This window comes from Homo sapiens, chromosome 14 (assembly GCF_000001405.40).
Source record: "Homo sapiens chromosome 14, GRCh38.p14 Primary Assembly".
Taxonomy (NCBI): domain Eukaryota; kingdom Metazoa; phylum Chordata; class Mammalia; order Primates; family Hominidae; genus Homo; species Homo sapiens.
In genome coordinates, this window is record NC_000014.9 from 74,778,911 (window position 1) to 74,792,912 (window position 14,002).

The 14,002-nt window shown below is 39.8% G+C and overlaps 1 protein-coding gene across 6 annotated transcripts in view; it reads left to right on the top strand.

Annotated features, from left to right (window-relative positions):
- The window catches only part of YLPM1 (YLP motif containing 1), a 74,003-nt gene that overhangs the window by 15,595 nt on the left and 44,406 nt on the right, over positions 1–14,002 (top strand). For all 6 annotated transcript variants that reach the window (XM_011536966.3, NM_019589.3, NM_001411052.1 and 3 more), the window contains 2 exons: positions 1,495–1,674; positions 2,424–3,415. In XM_011536966.3, the coding sequence (XP_011535268.1) occupies positions 1,600–1,674; positions 2,424–3,415 (1,067 nt within the window). In that variant the 5' untranslated portion in view covers positions 1,495–1,599. The remainder of the gene's footprint in view (positions 1–1,494; positions 1,675–2,423; positions 3,416–14,002) is intronic.

Consider the following 14,002-nt stretch of genomic DNA (forward strand, 5'->3'; position numbering starts at 1 on the left):
GCTTACTGCAACTTCTGCCTCCCAGGTTCAGGCAATTCTTCTGCCTCAGCCTCCTGAGTAGCTGGGATGACAGGCATGCACCACCATGACCGGCTAATTTTTGTATTTTTTAGTAGAGATGGGGTTTCACCATGTTGGCCAGGCTGGTTTCGAACTCCTGACCTCAAGTGATCCACCTGCTTCGGCCTCCCAAAGTGCTTGGATTACAGGCATGAGCCACCATGCCTGGCCTGTTGTATCAGGTTTAGAAAAGGAAATTTTTCCTAGTTTGAGTGAAGAGTTGGATACTCTTCTGAATTGAGTGCCTCTAAGCACTAAAGGAAGATGCCAGCATATGTTCATAGTGACAGCACAGGGCAATAGTTGAGTGCTTGAGCTTTTAGAGTCAAGCTACCCAGGCTATAATCCAGGTACTGCCACTTGCCAGTAGTGACTGGGCAAATTTGTTAACCATTCTGTGCTTCAATTTACTCCTCTGCAAAATGGGTATATTCAATAGTAGCTATCATATAGAGGTATTCAAGCATTAAATGTGATAATTCTTGTCACTCAGCTTAGTGACTGGCACATGGGAGGTTCTCATATTGGTCCAAAGGTCATTGTTCTCCCAAGAGCCTTATATGAAGGGTTTAATCAAACCATGATGGTTATATTGTAGTCCATTGGTGAAAAGTGACAAAAAAAGAAACGGATTTTTCATAGAGTGAAAAGGTCTATAACTTAAGGTTCACTTTTTTTTTTTTTTTTTCCAGACAGGGTCTCACTCTGTTGCCCAGGCTGGAGTGCAGTGGTGTGATCTCAACTCACTGCAGCCTCAGCCTCCCAGGCTCAAGTGATCCTCCTTGCCTCAGCCTTCCAAGTAGCTGGGACCTCTCTTCCCTCCCCTCCCCTCCCCTCCTTTTTTTTTTTTTGAGATGGAGTCTTGCTCTGTCGCCCAGGCTGGAGTGCAGTGACGCGATCTTGGCTCACTGCAACCTCTGCCTCCAAGGTTCAAGTGATTCTCCGGCCTCAGCCTCCCAAGTAGGTGAGATTACAGGTACCTGCCACCATGCCTGGCTAATTTTTGTATTTTTAGTAGAGACGGGGTTTCACCATGTTGACCAGGCTGGTCTTGGACTCCTGACTTCAAGTGATCCACCCGCCTTGGCCTCCCAAAGTTCTGGGATTACAGGTGTGAGCCATGGTGCCCGGCCTGGGACCACTTTCCACTGGGAAAATTGTTGTCATATTTAGGAATAATAAGATTATTATTCCAGTGAAGACTATGGAATTTATAAACTCCTTTGTATTAGTATCCATAATAGTATAGATAGAGCTATGTGTTTTATCTAAAGATAGAATAGCTGTTCTCAATCCAAAAAGAACTGAAGATACTGTGTTTGACAGTTGGATATTTCTGAGTTGTAGGGATTCTGGACTTTATAATACATTTATAAAATATTTTTGCTTGCTGTTTTATGACTTACATAAAGATGTGTCCTCTTTTATCTTTAGTCTGAGGACCCAGAAGAAGATGCCAGGTTAAAGCAGTTGCAGGCTGCAGCAGCACACTGGCAGCAGCACCAGCAGCATCGAGTCGGTTTCCAGTATCAGGGAATAATGCAGAAGCACACTCAGTTACAGCAGATTCTACAACAGTATCAGCAGATTATACAGCCCCCACCACATATACAGGCAAGTGCTTCCATAGTCCACAATAGGAAGTTGCCCCAAGACATTGAAAGGATTTGTTATTCTTGAAAGATTTAAGTGTAAAAAACAAAAGATACCAACTGTTGACAATTAGTTGTTTCCCAAGGGGTGCCCAAGTAGTTATCTGCCACATTACCTGGGGGACTGGGGAGGGGTTGGTTATAGTAGAGTTTCCTGATCATGTCAACCCAGGCCAGATGTTAGCTTACTATTGCTAAGGGTCTTAAGAGCTGGGGATTTTTACCATATAGCTACAGGTTAACCTGTGTTTTGCCTGTAAACTACAACAGTAACAGATAAGCAAAGAGGCCAAAAACAGCCATCACAAAAAACCTAAGCAAATATACCGTAAAAGATAAAGTGACTTAGATACTTGTTTGTGTTGTATCTTTGAGGGGTAATGTTGTGTCTGTATATCTATAATAACAGATCATTTTTCAAGTTCTTGAAATTATCCATATTAAAAACTTGAAAAATACTTATTGCTAAGATAGGTATTTGCTTTATTGTTTGGTTGGTTTTTCCAACTCTGTAGTAAGTTGTCTAAGCCAAAGGAAGGAAGAAGAATGATCATCACTCAAAGAACTTAACGAACTTATTCTTAGCCTCCCAAAGTCTTTAGTGTTCTAATTTCCTAAAGCGTCAAATGCCCTTGATTCATTAATATTTTAACCTATGATTAATTATCTTATATGAATGGTTTTAAATAGTTTTTATCCCTTTATTTGTAGACCATGTCTGTAGATATGCAGCTGCGGCATTATGAGATGCAGCAGCAACAGTTTCAACATCTTTACCAAGAATGGGAGCGAGAGTTTCAGCTATGGGAGGAACAACTCCATTCCTATCCTCATAAAGATCAGCTTCAGGAGTATGAGAAGCAGTGGAAAACATGGCAGGGACATATGAAAGCCACTCAGAGCTATCTCCAGGAGAAAGTCAATTCATTTCAGAACATGAAGAACCAGTATATGGGGAACATGTCAATGCCACCTCCTTTTGTTCCATATTCTCAGATGCCTCCACCTCTACCTACAATGCCCCCTCCAGTGTTGCCTCCTTCATTGCCACCACCAGTGATGCCCCCTGCCCTCCCTGCTACAGTGCCACCACCTGGCATGCCCCCACCTGTTATGCCACCTTCTCTACCAACCTCTGTTCCCCCACCAGGGATGCCTCCTTCTCTCTCTTCTGCAGGGCCACCACCAGTTCTCCCCCCACCTTCCCTGTCTTCTGCAGGGCCACCACCAGTTCTTCCCCCACCATCTCTCTCTTCAACAGCACCTCCACCTGTCATGCCCCTCCCACCATTGTCTTCAGCTACACCTCCTCCAGGAATACCTCCCCCTGGAGTTCCACAAGGGATACCTCCTCAGTTAACAGCAGCCCCAGTTCCACCAGCCTCCAGTTCACAGAGCTCGCAAGTTCCAGAGAAACCTAGACCAGCACTGCTTCCTACTCCTGTGTCTTTTGGTTCTGCCCCACCGACAACTTACCATCCTCCGTTGCAATCAGCTGGTCCATCAGAACAAGTGAATTCAAAAGCTCCTTTGAGCAAGTCTGCTCTGCCATACAGTTCATTCTCATCTGATCAAGGACTTGGGGAGTCTTCAGCTGCTCCATCTCAGCCAATCACTGCAGTGAAGGACATGCCAGTGAGATCAGGTGGCCTGCTTCCAGATCCTCCTAGAAGTAGTTACTTGGAAAGTCCAAGAGGCCCAAGGTAGGTCTGCTTTTTTTTCTCTTTTTTTTTGGTTTGGCTATTTTATTGACTTAGGCTATTTGGTTCTCGATGGTATAAAAAGCTTCATTTATACAATGTTTATACTCTCTTTGTACTTATATTGTCTGCTTGTTAAGACATCACGTATGTAATCTAGAAAAGGTAACATGCCCCCATTTCTTTGATGTCTCTGCTTTTGTCCTATATGTAGAGATTATAATCCAGAATGAATGTAGTATTGTAGAGTAATGCTAATCATTTTGTATTGACTTATTAGCTTTAAAAATAATATTAAACTTTATCTTTTGTTTGCTTTTTCATTCATTTGACAAATAATTGAATTGGCAATTACTATTTGTTAGATAATTTGTTAGTTGTTAGAGATAAAGATGAATAAGCCAATATTCTACTGGCTTGAGGCAGTGAAATTTAGCATAAGGTAAGTAGGACTTTTATTTTATCCATTCAGCAAATATTTAAGTTCCTGCTCTTGTACTTAGAGCAGTGAATATAGCAGAACACATAAAATTCCTGCCCCCATGGAGCTTACATCCTTTATATTTTCCCCAGTTAAGGAGATACTTCTGTTTATCCTGAACAACATATTTAGAAAGAAAAAAAATTGCTGGTGTGTAAGTTTTTTCTCTTTACCTTCTAAAAACTGTTAAATTCATTTTTTCCAAGTTTGTAAAAATAGATTTTTCTCCCCAAGTTGACCTAAATGATAACTTTTCTATGGAAATTATTATTATTTTTTGAGACAGGGTCTCGGTTTTTCACCCAGGCTAGTGTGCAGTGATAGAATTATGGCTCAGTGCAGCCTCTTCCTCCTGGGTTCAAGCAGTCCTCCCACCTCAGCCTCCCAGGTGGCTGGGACCAGAGGTGCGCACCAACACATCTGGCCAGTTTTTAAAAAATACTTCGTAGAGATGGGGATCTTCCTATGTTGACCAGGCTGGTCTCAAACTCCTGGGCTCAAGCGATCCTCCTGCCTTGGCCTCCCTGCCTGCCGTGGCCTCCCAAAGTGCTGGGATTACAGGTGTGAGCCACCACGCTCAGCCAGAAAAATACTTTAATCAGTTTTTTTCTCAGTTGGGAATTGTAGTAGAAATGGGTACTCCTTATACAAAATTCAAACATTACAGAAAAGTGTAGAAAAAAGTGAAAGTCACCTAATTCCACCATCTGGAGAGAATCATTTTAAAAATATATGTTGCAGAAATGGGATCATACTGAGTAGATTATCTTATAACTTATTTTTCCACCAATCTGCGTATTGCTTAGATTTTCATCTCAGTATCAGTGGATCTACATCATCATTTTTTTCAACCTCATTTTAACATTTGAAAACAAAATATATCTTTTATTCCCCAAGCTTATAATTCTGAAAGCAGTGTGGCACAAAACTCCATCCACAATCAAAGTTAAGAGAAAGGGCAATTAACATGAATTCCTCTGTGTACCAAGAAGCCTTGCTAGAGACTTTACACACATTATTATCTCATGGAAGTCTTCTCAACAACCTGTGAAGTAGGCAGATTATTCTCCATTTACTCTTAACAAAATGGCACTGAGAGGACTGCGTAACTTGCTCAGTCAGGATTATTTAGCAGAGTGAGTAGAACCCCAGAATAGGTACAGTTGAGTCTAGAGGGTCCCCAAAGCAAAAGTACTATTTAAGCTCTGTTTACTGCCATGATTCAAGCCTATACTGTCAGTGCTTATTTGGCATGTGTATCATCTTGATTTGAATTCGTTCTTAATCTCCTGGAATGAGCATTGCCTTTTAGATCTGGTAACTAATTTGCTATCAGAGAAGTACATTCTTAACACCTCATGAAACATACATTTCCTGCTCCCTTGATTTCCGTCATGTTAATATTTTCTCTCTTTGCCTACTAAATCTTGGCTGTGTGAATTTAGGACCTATTTTAAGTTTTGTCTTCAGAAGAAAATAACTTCTCAAGTTAATAATCTCTGTGCTGGGAGGATATTAGCAATTATCTAATATATCTGTCTACGGCAACGCACGTTTGTATTCCATTTCAGTTTGTCACAATGAGTCTTGCACATATCATCTTATTTATTCCTCTTAGTGATATCAGGAGGTAAATAAATACATAAGAAAAGCTGAGATTCAGAGAGGTTGTAAATACCTTGCCTCATATAACACAGCTAGTAAATGGTCAAGATGAGATTAGAATCCAAGGACTTCTGACCCACTTTAAGTCCATTGTACTTTCTGTGATGAGCAGTTGTATGCTTAACATTGGCATTGTGATTAGGAACACTGCCATATAAGGCATTGATTCTAGAAAGTTTGTTTTTTACATTGAACCTAAATGTGATTCTTTAACTTTTATCTGTTGATTCTAGATTTGCCTCTGGAGCAACACAGAATGAATTATCCTATGCCTCTTCTACAGCATGTCACTACAGTTATTTAAAAACTATTACCCTCATGTCTCCCTCACCCTACCTCACCCAGTTTGCTCTGCCAATCACAACTCAGATTCTTTTCATCTTAACATTGTTTCTAACCTCATCCTGCTGTACTGCTCACTGTCCTTTGAAGGGCCTTTAGTTTGTTAGTCTCCTTCAGAATGAACACTTACTTCAGATGCAGAGGAGCATGGGCCTAGTACCAACTTCATTATAAATAATGTGCTTATATTGTATAGCTTAACAAATTGCTTTTTTGTTTGTTTTTTTCAGCACTCTCACAGTGTTGACTCTTGTTGAACTTAACATCAATCTAGCTTCCCAGGTCTTTTTCACATTAGCTTTTATTAAGCCAAGTCTCTCTTATCCTGAACTTGTGTGGTTGGTTTTTTGTTTTTGTTTTTCTTGTTCCTTTTTCTAAGACTTTACATTTCTCTTTAGATTGTTTTCTAGTTAGGTTTGCACCATCATTTCAGTCTGCTGAAATCTTGGTCAATGATGATTATATTGTTTTAGGTATGTGATATCCCTCTTCAGCATTTTCATCTGCAGCTTTGATAAGGATGGCTTTTTAATCCTTGAATTGGATCCTACTCACATTATCCACCTTGTTTTGAAAACGTTTCCCCTAACTAGCTTATGTCATTGCCATTTCAGTCACCCCCTGCTGCTTTTGCTCACTCAGCCCTTATAGAGTATAGTTTGGGACTGTTACCCAGGCATAGTTCTTTTTCTCCAGTGTAACTAGGTAAAAAATCAGTGGGAAGCTGGTTAGTGAGTGAACAAGACTGAGGTAAGAATAATCTATACTATTAAGGAAACCTGTGAACTTCTTGTATTTCTAATTCAGATTTTGCTATCAAACATATAACTGATATGAGAAGCCACTTTTTTTAAATAATCAAAGCTGATTAGAAAAACAAGAGTTTAGAACACAACTAAACAAATTTACTGATAACATGCTGTTACAAATAAAGTACTGTAAATGGCTTTGAGTTTTTGCAAAATCCAGATTTAAGCTGCTTTATAAAAACGAGATTTCTAAAAAGTCATGTGACAAAACTGCATGACATGTAAATAACATATCACATTGTTGAGAGTCTAGGGGAGCTGTTTTGACACTGTGTATATCATTGGATTCACTCAGTCTTCCAGAAGACTACCGTTGGTCCAGAAAACTGTCATATCAATGGATGTTGGTTTTCCAGGACCTTTTTTTTCACATATAATAAAACTTATTGAAACGTAACAGAGAAGTGCACAATTTTAAGTGTTCAGCTTAGTGAATTTTCACAAAATAAAGACACACATTGGCCAGGTGCGGTTGCTCATGCCTGTAATCCCAGCACTTTGGGAGGCTGAGGGGGGAGCGGATCATGAGGTTAAGAGTTCGAGACCAGCCTGGTCAATATGGTGAAACCCCATCTCTACTAAAAAATACTAAAATTAGCTGGCATGGTAACATGCGCCTGTAGTCCCAGCTACTTGGGAGGCTGAGGCAGGAGAATTGCTTGAACCCGGGAGGCGGAGGTTGCAGTGAGCCAAGATCGTGCCACTCTACTCCATCCTGGGTGACAGAGTGAGACTCCGTCTCAAAAAAAAAAAAAAAAAAAAAGGCACACATGGTATCACTACTAGATCAAGAAATAGGAATTACTGGTGCCCAAGAAATCTCCCTCATCCCCCTCAGTTATTTTCTAATACCCCAAAGATAACTGCTATACTGAGCCATAGATTAGTTTTGCCTATTTTTGAACTTCATGTGAGTGAAATAATACTGTATGTACTCATGAGTCTGGCATCTTTCACTTGACATTGTATTATTGTGAGAGTCATCCATGTTGTGTGTAGTAGTAGTTTATTCCCGTTCCTGTACAATAGTTCATTGTATGAATATAACACAATCTGTTTATCCATTTTAATATTAATGGTCATTGAAGTTTTTTGGTTATTATGAAAAGTGCTGCTGTGTGTCTTTTGATGCTGTATGTGTCCCTTTAGATGTATGTGTTTGTTTGTGTGTGTTTAATTTTGTTTGGATATCTATTAAGGATTGGAATTGCCTGATTATAGAGTATATACATGTTCTGCGTTAATGGGTATTGTTAAACATTTTTCCAAAGTGGTTGTTTCAGTTTATATTCTCACCAGCAGTGTTTCAGTGTTTCAGTTTTTTTGCATCCTTATCAACACTTGGTATTGTTAAACTTTTAAGGTTTAGCAATCCTAGTGGATGTTTAGTGGTATCATGATAATGGATTTAATTTACATTTCCCTGATGACTAATGAGGTTTCACTTTTTTTATTTGATTATTGTTAATTTGTATTTCCTCTTTTATGAAATGCTGATTCAAGTCTTTTTCCCATTTTTTGACTAGGTTTTATGTCTTACTGATTTTGTAGGAGTTCTTTGTGAATTCTACACATCAGTTTTTTATCCATTATATGTATTACAAATTTCTCACTGCAGGACTTTTTATTTTCTTAATGAGCACTTGAATGTAAACGCTGCATGCTGGGTACAGTGGCTCATGCCTGTAATCCCAGCACTTTGGGAGGCTGACGCGGGCAGATCACTTGAGGTCAGGAGTTTGAGACCAGCGTGGCCAACATGGTGAAGCCCCAGCTCTACCAAAAATACAAAAATTAGCTAGGCATGGTGGTGCACGCTTGTAATTCCAGCTACTCGGGAGGCCGAGGCACAAGAATCACTTGAATGCAGAGGTGGAGGATGCAGTGAGCCGAGATCGAGTCACTACACTCCAGCCTGGGCGACAGAGTGACAGAGCGAGAACGAGATTCCGTCTCAAAAAAAAAAAAGAAACTAAACGCTGCAGTAAGACAGTTTGATCTCAGTATAGTAGAAAAGTAGTCTTTACCGTTTACCTTTTAGGTCCAATGGACCCTTTGTATTTTAAAGTTTAAAGTAATTTTACAAATAATTTACAGAATTTAAGAATAAAGGGGCCGGGCATGGTGGCTCACATCTGTAATCTCAGTACTTTGGGAGGCCTAGGCGAGCGGATCACTTGAGGTCAGGAGTTTGAGACCAGCCAGGCCAACATGGGAAAACCCTGTCTTTACTAAAAATACAAAAATTAGCTGAGCATGGTTGTGCACACCTGCAATCTCAGCTACTCAGGAGGCTGAGGCATGAGAATTGCTTGAAGCTGGGTGGCAGAGGTTGCAGAACTGCACCACTGTACTCCAGCCTGGGTGACGGAGTGAGAGTCTGTCTCAAAAATAAAAATAAAGGGATAGTGAAAAAAATGTTAAAGACAAACTCTTTTCATCCATTAAATTTGGGCACACAAACATCTTAAAAGATGAAATAATTCTGTCACATACCCTTTTTTTTTTTCTTTTTTTTTGAGATGGAGTCTCGCTCTGTCGCCCAGGCTGGAGTGCAGTGGCGCAATCTCAGCTCACTACAAGCTCCACCTCCCAGGTTCACGCCATTCTCCTGCTTCAGCCTCCCAAGTAGCTGGAACTACAGGTGCCCACCGCCACGCCTGGCTAATTTTTTGCATTTTTAGTAGAGACGGGGTTTCACCGTGTTAGCCAGGATGGTCTCGATCTCCTGGCCTCGTGATCCACCCGCCTCGGCCTCTCAAAGTGCTGGGATTACAGGCGTGAGCCACCGCGCCTGGCCTTCTGTCACATATCCTTTTAGCAAATTGAGATGGTCCAGGTTCTTGCCACAAAATATGTGATAAGATAAGGTCCTTCCTGTTTAATAACTAAGTGAATTACCACACCACATTTCCTTTCTGTTCTTAGAAATATATTGTCAGCTGGGCATGGTGGCTCACACACCTATAATTCCAGCCCTTTGCGGGGCTGAGGCAGGAGGATTGCTTGAGGTTAGGAATTTGAGACCAGCTTGGGCAACATAGTGAGACCCTGTCTCTACAAAAAGTAAAAAATTAGCCAGGCTTGGTGGCATGTGCCTGTGGTCCCAGTTATGTGGGAGGCTGAGGTGGGAGGATCGCTTGAGCCTGGGAGGCCAAGGCAGCAGTGAGCTGTGCACTGCACTCCAACGTAGGCAACATAGTGAGATCCTGACTCAAAAAAAAAGAAAGAAAAGAAACCGTAAGGCTACAAGTATTATTATTTACTTTTTCTTCTTTTATTTCTTTAACCTTTTATTTTTAAATCAATACTCCATATAAAACTGATTTTATATAGCGTGAGGTAGGGGTCAATGTTTATTTTTTCCGAATAACTATCCAGTTCACCCCAACACCATTTACTGAAGAAGTCATCCCTACTACTTTGCAGTGACTTCATCATAAATTCAATGTTTAAATGAGTTTGTTTCTGGACTCTCCATTCCTGTGGTCTATTTGTCTGTCTTTGCATTAGTGTCATATTTTAATTACTGTAGCTTTACAATAAATTTATCTGTTAGTGTAGGTCCTCCAATTCTGTGCTTCTAGATAAGGGATTGGCAAGCTTTCTTTTTTATTTTTTCTTGAGACGGAGTCTCAGTCTGTCACCCAGGCTGGAGTGCAGTGGCGCTCACTGCAACCACTGCCTCCTGGGTTCAAGCGATTCTCCTGTCTCAGCTTCCCAAGTAGCTGGGATTATAGGTGTGCACCACCATGCCCGGCTAATTTTTGTGTTTTTAGTACAGATGGGGTTTCACTGTTTTGGCCAGGCTGGTCTCGAACTCCTGACCTCAGGTGATCCATCTGCCTTGGCCTCCCTGGGTGCTGGGATTACCGGTGTGAGCCATCATCCCTGGCCTGGCAAGCTTTTTATAAAGGGCCAGGTGGTAAATATTTGTAGGCCTTGTGGGTCACATTTGGTCTCTGTTAAATATTTTTCTTTCTTTTCTTTTTTTTTTTTTTTTCACATTTAAAAAAAATTTTATTGAGGCAGGGTCTTTACTCTGTTGCCCAGGCTAGAATGCAGTGGCAGGATCACAACTCATTACAACTTTGACCTCCTGGGCTCAAGCAGTCCTCCCACATCAGCCTCCCATGTAGCTGGAACTGTAGATGTGTCCCACCATGCTTGGCTACGTTATTTTTTGTAGAGATGGGATCTGCCTGTGTTGTCCAGGCTGGTCTCAAACTCCTGGGCTCAGGCCATCTGCCCACCTTGGCCTTCCAAAGTGTTGGTATTACAGACATGAGCCACCATGTGCAGCCTTTTTTTTTTTTTAAACCTTCAAGAATGTAAAAAAGATCACTTTTAACTGTATTTGGAACATAGGCCATAGTTTGCTGACCCCTGTTCTAGATTGTCTTGATTATTCTTATTAGAATCAGCTTGTCAGTTTTCAAAAACCTGCTAGAATTTTGATGAGCATTGCATAGAATCCATTGACCATTTGGAGGAAGAATTGAAATCTTTATAATATCAAGGCTTCTGATCAGTCACAACTATGTTTTGACTGGCTTTAGGATTGGAATTGTGGACTTTTTCCATTCTATAGCTATCTTACTAGGATTAGTAAGGGACTGTGAGTGCTATAGGTTTTCTTTATATTTCCATTTGTTATGGTTGTTCTTGTTTATAGTGATAACTTATCTTTGGGAATTTTAATTTTAGGACCTTGGTTATACATATTTAGAAAACAGGTGCTATTTCACGTGAAAAGAAAACAGGAAGGAATTTAATTCCAAAATTTGGTATCTTGTAATTCCCATGGTTTGTTAATTTTAATATGTTTCTGCAAATAGTATAATACATAAAATACCTTCTTTAAAAGTATTTGTATAACTGCATCATACCTCTTAGGTTTTTACATTTTGGAGTTTTATATCAAATTTTGAAATTTTTATAATTCTAAGGTATTTATACCTAGTTTTAGGGGTTTTTTAAGAGATTTATAACACACTTAACTATACAAATAAACACTTTCTAAATACTTAAAACCAGATATTTGCTTATTTTTCTTTTTATCTTACCAAGGTACAATGCATGCGTTTTTATGTGATTGTATTTAGTGAATTTATGTAATGTTTCTACTATATTTTAAATACATGTTTTTATATGTCAAAAGGGTCATAGTATTTCATTATATTTAAAGGTGGCTTATTTTCATACAGATTTTTAATATGAGTATCTCTTGATATATTTGTTACAAAGCCTTAAAAGGTCTCTAGTTTTATAAATGAAAACGGTTTTGAGTCTGTCATTTTGTAACATCTTTGAACTTTGAAAATTTGAAAGTCCAGTAATAGACAGGTGCAGTGGCTCATGCCTGTAATCCTAGCGCTGTGGGAGGCTGAGGCAGGTGGATTACTTGAGCTCAGGAATTTGAGACCAGCCTGGGCAACTTGGTGAATCCGCATCTCTACCAAAAATACAAAAATTATCCGAGCCTGGTGACATAAAAAATTAGCCAGGCATGGTGGCAGGCACCTGTGGTCCCAGCTACTCGGGGGACTGAGGTGGGAGGATCACTGGAACCCAGGAAGTCTAGGCTGCAGTGAGCTAGGATCATGCCACTTCATTCCAGCCTGGGTGACAGAGTGAGACCCTGTCTCAGAAAAGGACAAAAAAAAATCAAATAGTGATAAATATTTGCCATTTATATGTAGTGTTGAAAGTGTATTTCAAATGGTTTCAACAATTTCTGGCCCCCAGAATGAAAATAAAATGATGGGCCTTGGCTGTTGATCAGCAATTTGGTCTGAAAACAAAGCACCCTACCCTTTCAACCCTTCTGCCATGTCCTCTTATCTGCACACCTTTTAATGCCTCCTACTTCCTTTGTCCTTTCTTCTGGCTTTTACACATGCTCTTTTCTTTGTCTGGAATTCCCTTCTTGCCATTCTTTGCTTTATTTATTCCTATTTTTCCTGCCCTGGGGCAGCACTTCAGTAATTACAGATTGGGATTATTTAATGAAATCAGACATTGGGAATACTTTGGTTAGCAAGACAAACATGTTCCATATTTATCAAATTCTGTTCTAATTGTTGAGTTAATTGTCTCACTCTTCCTGTGGACAGTGAACTCCTTGAGGTTAGGCATGACTCTCTTTTTAGCACCAGCTCATTACCTGACAATCAGTATGTGTTCAGTGAAAGTTGCTTCTTCCAAAATGTCAGTCATGGATAAAATTCTCAAGGCATTCACAATTTTGTTAGGAAGGGACTTTGCTCATATTTAGAATTTGATTAGAATACTAGATAACATGTTAATAAGGTCTCTCATGGACTCTTGTACATTGTGGAAGATAGTCTTCTTTTATCACTTATGTGAACAAATAATTGCTACATTTAATACATAGCAAATGATTTTATACAACTTTAATGATCTGATATATTATTGAGGCACTTTAAATTAATAAGTGTAATTCCGAGAAAGGAACCACACCTTCACAAGCCCTAAAGCGGCATACTTTTTTTTCCTTCTGTAAATATATACTCTCCATCCTTAGCATTGTGATGTATATACTTTGACAAGTTTCTGGTCACCTTCTTTCGCCTTTGCCCATTATAGCTCTGCCAAGCCTTCACTACTTCGCATAGACCATCTACTCTAGTGCTGCTTTCTCAATCTTAGCAAACATTTTTATTTTGCATTATATTTATAATTTAGCTTCCTGCCTTACAGGAAATCAAGTTTACCTATCAAGCCCAGTAAAACATCTCACTTCTAACCCTTAGCTTTACTTAGCATGCTCATAATCTTGTAGTCTCAGGAGAAGCGGCCCTTCTGATGAGAGCTAATCCTCTCTCTGTGCCCTTTAAAGAGATACAGTTTACATTTTTATCAAAGTGATTCATATGCATGGTTTAAAAAAATTGGGCCAAATGGCCACCCACTGCTCCATGCCCTCCAAATGTTTTTGCCAATGGCATCCTCTTTCAATTATTTAGCTGTTTCTTTTGGTCGCCATCTTCATAGCACTAAATAATTATGTTGCCCTTTTCACTACTTAAACACTTACACATTTTAGATATTACATATTTATTTAACTGTCCTGAAAAATAAAGTTTTCGTTCTTCCTCAACACTCTGCCATATGGGTGTTAACTACAGCATTCCCCTTGCTGACCCTCCGGAATGTGATTTGCTGTTTATCGAATCTCATGGCTTCCTGTTACCATTCAGTACCTCCATTTCCTGGAGTGCATGCTCAAGTAACTTGCTAAGGAAGTGTGGGTGAGGGGTAAATTTTCTG